At 51.1% G+C, this 12,047-nt stretch overlaps 1 protein-coding gene across 2 annotated transcripts in view, besides 3 other annotated features; it reads left to right on the top strand.

The window, feature by feature from the left end:
• Positions 1-12,047, top strand: part of XKR6 (XK related 6) — a 305,789-nt gene that overhangs the window by 174,110 nt on the left and 119,632 nt on the right. The window lies entirely within an intron of this gene.
• Positions 10,944-11,533: a silencer, noted in NCBI's record as "silent region_18919". NCBI's record gives its function as "represses an Ori minimal core promoter by ATAC-STARR-seq in GM12878 lymphoblastoid cells {active_cell/tissue: GM12878}" and the evidence as "EXISTENCE:reporter gene assay evidence [ECO:0000049][PMID:35858748]".
• Positions 11,554-11,613: a silencer, noted in NCBI's record as "silent region_18918". NCBI's record gives its function as "represses an Ori minimal core promoter by ATAC-STARR-seq in GM12878 lymphoblastoid cells {active_cell/tissue: GM12878}" and the evidence as "EXISTENCE:reporter gene assay evidence [ECO:0000049][PMID:35858748]".
• Positions 11,734-11,793: a silencer, noted in NCBI's record as "silent region_18917". NCBI's record gives its function as "represses an Ori minimal core promoter by ATAC-STARR-seq in GM12878 lymphoblastoid cells {active_cell/tissue: GM12878}" and the evidence as "EXISTENCE:reporter gene assay evidence [ECO:0000049][PMID:35858748]".

Below are 12,047 nucleotides of genomic sequence, written 5' to 3'. Positions count from 1 at the left end.
GGAGCAAATAACTGGCCCCAGGCCACACTGCCAGTAGACGTGGTTGTCTTGGCCTTCATCTTGCTGCAAGGCCTTGAGCCACTGGCCCAAGATAGTCATCAGCTCAAGTGAGTTGCTGAAGCCTAATGTCATGTGACTTGGAGTAATTTACTACTTCTCTGAGCCTCAATTAGCTTGACTGTAAAATGGGGGTGAATGCCTACTTTGTAGCATGGTGGTGAGAATTAAATGACGAAACGAATATGAATGCTCTAGATCTGCATTGGCCAATAGGAATATAAGGTGGACCATAAATGTGAATCACATTTGGGGTTTTAAATTTTCCAGTAGCTACAATAAAACAAAAAAAGTAAAAAGAAGTAAGATGAAATTAATTTTAATTCTATAACATATTTTATTTAACCCAATATACATAGTCACATGCCACATAATAACATTTCAGTCAATGGTGGACTGCATATATGAGGATGGTCCCATAAGATGATAATACCATATTTTATTGTACCTTTTCTACGTTTAAATATGTTTAGATTCACAAATACTTACCACTGTGTTACAACTGCCTACTGTATTCAGTACAGTATTGTACTGTACAGGTTTGTAGCCTAGGAGCAACAGGCTATGCCGTATAGCCTAGGTGTGTGGTAGGCAACGCCATCTACGTGTGTAGTAGGCCAGAGCATTTAGGTGTGTAGTAGGCAACAGCATCTAAGTGTATAGTAGGCTAGACCATCTAGGTGTGTAGTAGGCAACACCATCGAAGTGTGTAGTAGGCTAGACCATCTAGGTGTGTAGTAGGCTAGACTATCTAGGTGTGTAGTAGGCTAGACCATCTAAGGGTGTAGCAGGCTAGACCATCTAGGTGTGTAGTAGGCTAGGCTATCTAGGTGTGTAGTAGGCTAGACCATCTAAGGGTGTAGTAGCCTAGACCATCTAGGTGTGTAGTAGGTTAGGCTATCTAGATGTGTAGTAGGCTAGACCATCTAAGTGTGTAGTAGGCTAGACCATCTAGGTGTGTAGTAGGCTAGACCATCTAGGTGTGTAGTAGGCAACGCCATTAAGAGTTTAGTAGGCTAGACCATCTAGGTGTGTAGTAGGCTAGACCATCTAAGTGTGTAGTAGGCTAGACCATCTAGGTGTGTAGTAGGCAACGCCATTAAGAGTTTAGTAGGCTAGACCATCTAGGTGTGTAGTAGGCTAGACCATCTAAGTGTGTAGTAGGCTAGACCATCTAGGTGTGTAGTAGGCTAGACCATCTAGGTGTGTAGTAGGCTAGACTATCTAAGTGTGTAGTAGGCTAGACCATCTAGGTGTGTAGTAGGCTAGACCATCTAAGTGTGTAGTAGGCCAGACCATTTAGGTGTGTAGTAGGCAACACTATCTAAGTGTATAGTAGGCTAGACCATCTAGGTGTGTAGTAGGCTAGACCATCTAGGTGTGTAGTAGGCAACACCATTAAGAGTGTAGTAGGCTAGACTATCTAGGTGTGTAGTAGGCTAGACCATCTAAGTGTGTAGTAGGCTAGACCATCTAGGTGTGTAGTAGGCTAGACCATCTAGGTGTGTCGTAGGTGTGTAGTAGGCGACACCATCTAGGCATGTGTAACTCACTCTGTGATGCTCGTACAATGATGAAATCGCCTAACGACACATTTCTCAGAATGTATCCCCGTTGTTGATTGGTGCATGACTGTATAAGATATTATTGTTTAAACATGTAATCAGTACAAAATGTATTCATGAGCTGTTTTAATCTCTTGTACTGATTCTTTGATATCTGGTCTTTGATATCTCATGTGTATTTAACAGCACATTTCAGTTTGGACCAGCCACATTTCAAGTGCTCAGTAGCCACGTGTGCCTGGTGGCTGCCATACTGGAGGCATGGCTGTATATACACATAGGCAGTGCTACGCCTCCCTCCACAAGCAGGGCTAATGTCACACCCCAGAGCTTCACTAATTACTCATCCAGCTCACACTCTATTTGGTGTGTATTAGTGTTATTAGATCAAGAGCTTTATTTCATGCACCATGATGTATATTAACAAATCGTAACTCATGAATTCACAAACCTGAAATCAGAGGCCCATGCAAACACAGGAATTAGGCTTTTGTTCCTGAAGCAATTTGTGTTCACTTCTTTCCGTGTACTTACCAAGCCTGGCATTAGTTGTGTGAATTTCCATCTCCCCCAGGCCGCCCCCACTCTAAGCTTCTTGGAGGGAAAGTATGTGTCTCTGGCTTCCTCTATCCCATTGGCAACCCCTCCCTGCACCCCAAGTGTCTGGCTTTCAGCAGGCCTTAGCAGGTATTCAATAGGTATTTTTTGAATAGACTCCATTAACCAAAGGCATCGGCTCCTCTTAGAAAGGAAGCATATTATAAAGAAAAGGCTCTAAAGTCAGATTATGTAAAAATGTGTTGAAAGGCACAGGGACATCAAACGTAACCACTGAATTGAAGTTTTTATTCGAGTAGACATGAATCTGGCGGACATGAGTACAGGGTTCCTGTGGATGGGTGTGTGTTTGGGAGAAGAGGCAGGAACAGAAGTGTCTGGAAGTCTGTCACAAGCATTTGAACATATGATGAAATAAGTCCTGCTCACCCCTCTGTGACATGCTCCAGTCGGCTCCAAGGCCTCGTAGAAAGATGGGGGGATCCCTTGTTCCCATCACTGCTCACTTCCTGGATCAATCAGACTGCACCACCCCTCCTGTGGACTTTGGTTACTGGGAGCCACAGGGCCTGAGGCAGCCACTTTAGAGAGCCGGTCTTGACCACCTAATGGTGAGTGTGTGGCCAGGCCAGTCACAGGTGCTGTCTCAACTTGGGATGTGTGTGTAACTCTGGGAGGAGTAGGGATGGATGGTCCACTTCTGGAAGTTCCCAGGGCCCCAACACCCAGGTTTTGCAGCCGTCTGCTAGTCTGCACTGTCTTTAAGAGGGATCAGTTCTAGATTCTCTTCCCCATCCCATCTGTGACTTGGCCCTCTTGGGCCTCCCTGGGGGTCAATAGAGGAAATACCTTCAACAGATGGTGGAAATGTGGGAGCAAGGTTGCCTCAAAATAGTCAGGGTGATTCGGCCTCATGGGCATAGTTCTGACAGTGCCAGCATGGGACAGATGAAGTCTGGGAGAGGCCAAGCCCTGAGGATAGTCAGACACTTGGTAGGTTGTGATATTTGAGTTTATTAATAAGAAAGTAATGGCTACCACTGACTGAATGCTTATTAGGTGCCAGACAATTGACTAGGCATTTTACCTGGATTACTTTATTTAAATCTTAGAGCATCCCTACATCATGGGTTCTGTCATAGCTCCATTTCACTAATAAGGAGACAGATGTGGAGGTTGGGGAGTTGGTCCCAGGTCACCCAACTGGGGAGGGCAGAGGTTGGGGAGGGACAGGAGTCAATAACCCAAAGTCATGAAATGAGAAAGGAAGTAAACACTTGGATGGAGAATCACACACACACACACACACACACACACACACACACACACACACACACACCTCCTAACAGGTATGTTGTCTGCAACAAGGCAAAAATAATTCATTAATATCTCATTTAAACTTGAGGGCGAGGGAATTCCTGAACCACCTCTCTGGAGCAAATAATGGAAATTGGAAATTGATTGTCATTTACCTTTGAGGAAGACTTCGGGATGTGCCATGTCTTTGGTATAGGGCTGCGTGGTGTTGTGACGCATGTGAAGAAATACATCCAAGGACCTTCCTAAGCTCATCTGCAGCCACAATTCCCCCACCCTATTCTTCTCGTAGGGTTTTAAGTTTGCTGTCTGCAAATGTTCCTCATTCCGGAGTCTTTGGGAACCAATCCACCTAGCTGGAGAAGGACATCGTACCCTGGTAATGAAGACAGGCATAGAGAGGCACAGGGTTCAGGAGGGGACAGTCAGCACCGCAGGTGGCTCCGCAGCAGGTGAGAAATGATCCGCAGGAGGCCTTCATGGAGCCAGGGGAAAGACTCTGCTCCCAGACATGCTGAAGGCAGAGTTAGCAGTCCCTCGCTGTGGGGTTCCTCAACCCTAAATAAAGGGGAACAGGCCAGACCTTTATGCCACCTCTCACCAGCTCCTCCTCAAGTGGCCCCCACAGATTCTAAGATAGAAAATCTCTTTAGAAAGCAGTCCCAGGTGGCACAGTGGCTCACACCTGTAATGCCAGCACTTTGGGAAGTTGAGGAAGGAGGATCCCTTGAGCCCAGGAGTTTGAGACCAGCCTGGGCAATGCAGCCAGACCCCATCTCTACAAAAAATAAAATTAGTCGGGTGTGGTGGCACTGCCTAGAGTTCCAGCTACTCAGAAGGCTGAGGTTAGAGGATTTCTTGCTGTGATCATGCCACTGCACTCCAGCCACCAGCCTCAGATGACTTCGGGGGCCTGTGAGGTGCCTCACTGCTTCCAGGGCAGAACAGGGTCTGGGATCTGCAGAGGGTTCTAGTGCCTGCTCTGGGAGCAGCCCTGGGTGCAGAAAATGCAGGGCCAGCTCAGTCTAGGAAATGGGGACATGGAGGGAGGGCCCTCCCCAGCTTTCCACCTGCCCATTTTCTCACCGCCAGCTGACTCAGTGATTGAGACGAGTTCCTGTCTCTGGTTTTGTTCGGCACATCAGAGTCTGCGACTGAGCCTTTGGTCTGGAGTTTGAGCAAACTGGAGCTGAAATTGCCTCGACAGATACCTTGGAGCGCTGACACCGCAGCACCAGCCCTGCTGTGGCCAGGAAGGGAGGGAGGGGACTGCCTTTCCTGTGTGTCTGTGGGTCACGGCCTTGAGTTAGAGCCCCGGGCCTCCTGCCCTGGGACGTGGAGGACCTTACACAGGTGCCTGAGGAACTAAATGTTGATCAATGAAATATTTATAACAAATAAAAAAGTGGAAAATATTTCTCTGCTTTTGTAGTCTGAATGGTATAGTTGAAAAGACCCAGCTTTAAAAATAAAAAGCTTGGGTCTTGGTTCTACCACTTACTAATTGCAGGGCCTTGCGCAAGATAACCTCTCTGGGCCTCAGTGTTTGCATCTGTAAAAGGGGAATAATGTCACCCTTCTGTGGGTCGTAGGGATGGAAAAAGATGACACTGGAGGAAGCGCATGCATTCTCCTCTGCTCCTGCCGCCCGCTTCACCCATTGGCTGCTGACTGAGTTTGGGATTTTGACACTTAGTCTTTGTCCCATTCATGTGTCTAAGACCTAATTTCTGGTGTTTGTATAAGGTCATTTTGTGGTCTCCCACTTGGAGTGGGCCCTCTGCCTTGGACCCAGGGGGACTGCTTGGACATGTTTGAACAGCAAGAGAGTTTTGGGTCGCTGCAGGTAGAGCATAAGTACCTGTGTCCACATGTAAATCTGCTCTCCCCTAGCAATGGCCATGATCACCCAGGTGGAACAATGGGGCTTGGTTACAGCCCATGCACCTTTCCCAGGGATGCTAAGGCAACAGCACTCTGCAGCATCTTTCTCTGAACTGTTTGTGCTACTGGCACCTACTGTTTTGTGCCATAGTTACATGAATGAGAAGGGTTGGACCTCTTTAAGAGAGGGCCCCTTTCTATCTAGGATGCACTGTCTGTGGACTGAAAGCTCTCCAGGGCAGGGGCTTCTTTGGTTATATTTCTGAAAAAGCTCCCCAGTGGGCCATGAACTCCTTCAGGCCAGTGCCTTTGTTTCTTCCCCTTTGTTTTCTGCAGTGTGCAGTCCAGTGCTCAGCTGGAGACAGAGGCTAAGGAAATGCAACTAGAAACACAAAGTAAGCAGCTGGTACCAGCCAGCAATGATGGTGGGAGGAAAGTAGGAAGGAGGAAAAAGGTTTATATGGAACAAGGCTAAGTTCAGGAAGCCAAGGTCAGGGAGACAGGCTTACCCTAAAGTTCCTTGAGGGCAGGGATTGTGTCTTATCACGTTAGTATCTCAGGAGGCTGTCAGTCTTAGCATAGTTGAATGAAGCAGGAAAGTGAAGAGAGAACATTTGAGACTCTGAATGGATGAAAAGAAGCACCAAGAATATATAGCAGTCATGATCTCTGATGTGCTTGACAACAAAGTCTCTATGGACTCTGGAGCGTTTGGGATCCTGTGTGCTTTGGGCTCCTGGGTCCTGAGCAGACCCAGCCACTGCTCTCTGAGCTGGGTCTGTTTTCTGCTTGAAAGGGACAAAAGGCTAGAAGCTACTAATGAATTGTGCTGGGCCCTGAAGAAAGAAATGACTATCCATTTATATTTGTGTTATGAATGTAAACCATTGCTTAAACAAGGCAGTGTCTCTGTCCATGGGTTTATACATTATACATTAAGCTCATCCTTAATCCGATGGAACTTATGGAATCCAGCAGCAGCTAGAAACTCTCAGCAGTCCATCACTTTAGCTGTACCCCTTGTTCTACTCCAAGTGCAAGAAAAATCTAAGCTTTTTACCCACATGAGTGTAGGAAGAGGGAAGACAGGGTTCTGTATAACTCTTCCTCTCCCTGTGAGACCTGCAGTGCCTTCCTGTAAGAGGCTGCAGTGTCTTAGGACACAGAGTTTCTGGTCTGAGACTCTGAGAGAAGCCCAAGATTCCTTCCTAGGACAGCTGTTTTATGGAGATGGTTTAAAATCTGAGGAGACTAAGGCTTGACGTATCTTAAAGCCAGAAGCATTTGCCTCATAGGACCCCCTAGGGTCCCTTTGTAAAAGGTGAGCCTGAACCCCCATTTCCCAGGGCCAGATTGCATCATCTCCACAAGTAGCTCACCCTTAGATAGTACCTACTCTGTGCCAGCCACTATGCTAAGCAATTCACATATACTGACTCTCTGATCATCACAACAGCCCTAAGAGATAGTTACTCATGTCACTGCCATTTTACAGTGGATGAAACTGTTGCACAGAGAGGTCACCTGGCCTGCCCAAGTGCACACAGCAAGTTTAGGGGGAAGCATACTTCAGTAAGGATCTCAAAATTTACATTCTAGACCCTCATATTAGGAAAAAGGCGTAAGAGTTCAAAGTTGACCTGAAAAGCCATAGCCCATGAATGCCAATCAAGGCCTCCTTGGCTGAGATTTTGAGGACCAAAGGAGGGAAAGGAAGCTCTTAGGGGCTGGGGTGTTCCCTTCTTGGAAGCACCCAAAGGCTTCTCTCTGTCAAAGCCCCAACTCACCGATACATGTGTGATACTTCCCAGGCTGCAAGCACATTTCTTTCCTCGATGGGTTCTTACAAGCACCCTAAGAAGGACGGGGAGAAGCAGCACCGTTTACAGGTGAGGTCACAAGGAACTTAGCACAGGGCTTGCCACATCATTGGGACTCAATTCTTATTTGTCAAATGAATTACTGAATGACTAGATATTTGGATGGATGGATGGATGGATGCATTTCTGGAGGGATGGCTGAGTGACAGGAGAGTGGACTTGTGCTTCCGTGTCGGGATGCACAGACGGTGTCGGCTTCCTACACTGAAATCATATGAACTCTGGCCAAGCCCTGGCTCCACTGAGAGCCTGAACTCAACTCCCAAGACCATTATTTGAAGTCCCCTCATCCTATGCCTGCCCTGTAAGTCCCCATGCTCCACGGAGTCAGGGCAGAAGCAAGCACTTCACAGACAGGGAAAGGGGACTGGGCCTTGGGTGGGTGGGGATGAGGCCACCATCTCCTGTCCTCTGCTCTGACAGGTCCCGCTGTTCCTTGGAGAGGCCTGCCATTCCTTCCTGGGGGAAGAGTGCCCTATCCCTTCTCTCCAGTGGATTATCAGTGGCGGTTCCTCCACTATTTATAGCCTGCCGCCTCTCTGCCCCACTCTGGCCCGGCTGGGAAGTGAGCACCACAACCTCTGATCGGATTTCTCTTTTCTGGGTTTGAGCTTACACGGAAGTACAGCATCCTCAGAGGCCACAGCTTCTGAGCCTCACGGGTGCCTGATCAATGCTCCTACTTTTAGCTGAAGGTTGGAACCAATTAACCGTGTTAGCCTCTGCCTCTGAGGGCTGTGTCTGCAGGTGTGGCTGGGGCCTGCCAGGGTTACGGCCCTGCAGCCTCAGCTCACCATGTCTTGGCGGTCAGAGCCAGCTGCCACACTGCTCACACCACCTCTAGGTGGAAACTGGGGCCCAGACCTGGGCCTGGGTACAGCTGGAATGTCACCTGCGCGTTCTAGCAGCCTGTTCCTGAGTCCTGCCTCCTGTGCCTGTGGCCAGGCTGCCCTGTCTCCATCCCCAGAGGAGGCAGCCCAGCAGCCCACCTCCCTCCAGCCAGTCACAGCTCTGAAGAGGTGGGATGGAGGAAGAATAGTTACAATGGGTGGTCCCGAAGTCCAGAGGCGAAGGGTTCAGCTCCCCTGTTCTTGTGTCTTTACCAGGGGATGGAGGCTTCCCTGGGTGAATGTGAAGTGTCTGCCCATTCACAGTCTCCTCACTCATCTTTGGTGAAGATCTTAGAAAGCAAGTCAGAGAGGAGAGGGAGGGTGGGTCAGTGCCAAGCAATTCACATTGGCTTTTGGCCCCATGCTAGACCCTCTGAGGGGTGAAGGGATAGGAAAGTGAGTGAAACATGTTGGTCTTTTACGGGCCCCAGGCCATGGAGATGACAGCCACACTTAGATCTCAGTGATGCATGGCAGACTCTATTCTCTAACAGGACTCCAAAAGTGCCACCAGGAAGAAGGAGTGAAATTTTAACTGGGGGAGTGGGTGAGGGGGCCTGAGGATGAAGGCTGAGCTTGAGGAAGTGAACACGGAGCTAGGGTGGCCCAGGCAGAGGGTCATCTCCAGATGAGCATGGTGGCAGGAGAGACAGAGCACCTTTGGGAAGCAGGAAGTGGTCTGCTGAGGGTATGGCATGCAGAGTGGGACAGGAGTTCTTAGGGGCAGCAAGGCAGGTCGCTAGGTAGAAAGGAGGCTGAGGCCAGGGAAAGGAGTTTGGGTCTTCTTTTTTGGCAATGGGGAGCTATTGATGGTTTGGGGCAGGAGCTTAATGGACCATGTTTCAGGAAGAATCTTTTGGTGTTCTGTGTGTTCATGTGTGTGTGTAAAACTTTGCTGAGAAAGACAACATTTCACAAATAAGGATCCATCCCTCCCAAGTGCATTCTCAAAGATGGCCTAGAAGAATGGAAAATCTTGGTATTACCTGTAGTTTCTCCTGGGGACACCAAAAACTTCTTTGGTAGTTTTCAGCTCTTGCCTTCATGTCCTTTGTCCTCCTCTCCCTGGGGACCCCCATATTATGGAGGGAAGTGCTAGCCTGGAGGCCCGGTGGTGGAGGTATCTGTCATCTGGCCTCCCTCTCTTGCCATCGCTCCCTTCCTGAGTTTGTGCAGGGGAGGAAGGCGCTGGGATGCTGCCTGTCAAATATCTCTGCAGGTGAGGAGCTGTGCACAGCATTCATCTCAGGAGCAATTTAGACCTCCAGGTCTCATCAGGAAGGAGGGGTATGAACCGGGCTTCTTGAGGTCGCTATGGTAACCAGTTACAGTCTTAGCTGATGGCAGGGAGGGAGTTGGGAGTCAGGGGCTGAGTCACCCTGAGGGGGAGGCTGTCCCTGGGTGGGTGGGGGGGATTCAGGTCAGACAGAGGGAGGGGCTGCTGACAGCAGCGTAACCCTTTGACATCCAGAGCTGCTCCTGAAGGAGGGCTGTCTAACTCGGGGATTGTCACATGTGTATAGGTTTGAAGTCCACGCCCAGAGGACCGGGGTTGTGCACCTTTGTCATTTCAGGTGCCTGGGGACAGGTATAACAGAGGAGATGGGAACAGGAGAAATAGATGGGCTCTCAGAATCCCTCTCAACCTGGCCTCAGCCAGCTTTCCTCCTCTCTGAGCACAAGCTACACCCCAGCACCCACTGTCATCTCAGGATCCGGGGATCCAGCCCCACAAAACTGCTTCCTGGCCCAGGAGGAACCAGGCCCTCTATTCCTATGGGCACCTACTGGTGCCTCTGACTGATGTGGTTTTTCTTCTTCTGGGAACCTCAGCCCGTCCTCAGGACCCAGGTCAAATGCCTGCCCCTCTCGTGTTTCCCAGCACCCCTCCCTGCCCTCTCCCAGGGCACTGCCACATGGATCAAGTGAGGCTCTGTGTGGGTGTCTCTGATGCCCACCATAATGTCAGCCCCTCTCGAGCAGGCCCAGGGTCTCTGAGTGCCGGAACCCAGCCACAGGCAGCTGCAACAGGCTCAGCAGATGCTTGAAAGAATGAACAAATGTCGTGTTACTTGCAGGCAACCTTGCAGCCCTGGAGCTGCGCTCAAACTGCCTGCAGCCAGCACTTGAGTTTCCAGGCTAAGCTGCCGTTGTGGTTAGTTCCAGGGATTTAAAGCACTTTACAGTTTGCCCGGCGTAAGCAGCTGAAAACCTGCAGCTTCGTGTCTATTGAGGAGGTTGCCAAAGCCTGGGTACTGTCCTGGCCAGCCTGGGGTCCGGGTTGTCCCTTCAGGACATATACCTATATCTATACGCATATCCATCCATCTACCTCCTATCTACCCACTGCCTACCTATCTGTGGCCTATCTATACGTGTTACAATGTTATATATCATCTCTATCTATCTCTGTCATCTATATGTATCTATCATCTATGCCTTTTTATCATCTATAACTATCATCTTTATCCAACCATCTATCATCCACATCGTATCAATCATCCATCTGTCTATGATCTATCCATATGTATCTATCCATATGTATGCAAATCTCTACCATCTACATCTTTCATCTTATCAGTCTATCTAATCTATCCGTCTAATCTCTATCTAATCTCTCTAATCTATCTCTAACCTGTCTGTCTATCTAAAGGAAAGGTGACTTGCTCGCTGAAGATCTGGGTGGTGGAGGGTCTCCGAGGAGGTGAAATTGAGGAGGGAACTGGAAAAACAGAAGAGGAGAGGCCTTTTGGGCTCGGCTGGCCCGAGAGAGAAGAGTGGTGGGGGAGCAAGGACGCGCCGGCTCAGAGCGGGGCAAGGAGGGGTTGGGGAGCAAGCGCAGGCCAGGACGCTCCCCAGTGCTGGCCGCGGAGGCAGAGGCGGAGGCGGGGCCGGGGGCCTGGGGCGTCGTCATCCGTGGCAGTGACGAGGAGGCGGGGCCTTGGAACGCCCCCTACCGAGGGCCCGCGCTGCAGCCAGCCGGAGGGCGGCGCTGTCGGGGCGCGGACGGGGACTTCCGGGTGGCAGCCAGGCAGGGATGGTGGGAGGGAAGGCGTGGGCGAAGGCGCTACCCGCTTTGAAGCAGAGGGCTCAGGATCTAGCTTGTTGTCTGCGCCTCGAGAGACCCCGCCCCCAGACCTGCGCTACTCCCGCTGCGTCCGGTGGCACTAGGACCCCGAGTCCCCGGCGTCCCCGCGGCGCACACTCCCCCAGGGTCCTCAGCACCGCACGCCAAGTCGCCCGCAGCCGTCGCGCTGCCTCGCGGCGCGGAGCCCAGACCCTCCCCATCCAGGGCGCGGGGCAGAGGGACGCAGAGGCCCCCGGCCAACCTCCGCGTCAGGGTGCGGGGAGGAAGGTCCCGCCCGGGGACGGGGCTTTTAGTCCAGCTGGCCGCCCTCTCCCACCGTCGGGCTGTGCCAGGGGAGCTGCACCCCCACGGTGGGATGCGAGGGGGCCACAGAGCGGAGCGCCGCGGGGAAGGACTGGCGAGCTCGGGGCTTGTGGGGGCGCAGTGGAAGGGGGCAGGGATCGCCGACGGTGCGGGGCGTTACCGGGGGTCTGCTGACCAAACCGAGCCGGATCGTCTGAGCCCTGCTGCCCGCCCTCATGGAGCCCGCCTGCAGCCGAGTCCGCAGGAGTCGGGACTTGGACAGAGGCGTGGGTCTGAGCTGGCACCGCCGCCCACCTTTGGGGCGCCTCGGGCACAGCACTTCCCCGGCGAGCCTCAGCGTCCTCCGCGGACTGCTCTAGATACGCCGAGCCCACCCTCAATTCCTCTCGGTTTCCCTCCTTCCCCTCCCACTTCTCACCTTAATCTCACTCCCTTCCTGTCTTACCCCGAGCCCGCCCCCGGCTTTCTCTGCTCCCTCGCTCCTTCTGGTTCTGAGCTCAACCAG

This window comes from Homo sapiens, chromosome 8 (genome assembly GCF_000001405.40).
Source record: "Homo sapiens chromosome 8, GRCh38.p14 Primary Assembly".
Classification (NCBI taxonomy): Eukaryota; Metazoa; Chordata; class Mammalia; order Primates; family Hominidae; genus Homo; species Homo sapiens.
The sequence above is the reverse complement of the archived record's forward strand: the minus strand, read 5'-3'. Positions and strand labels throughout refer to the sequence as shown.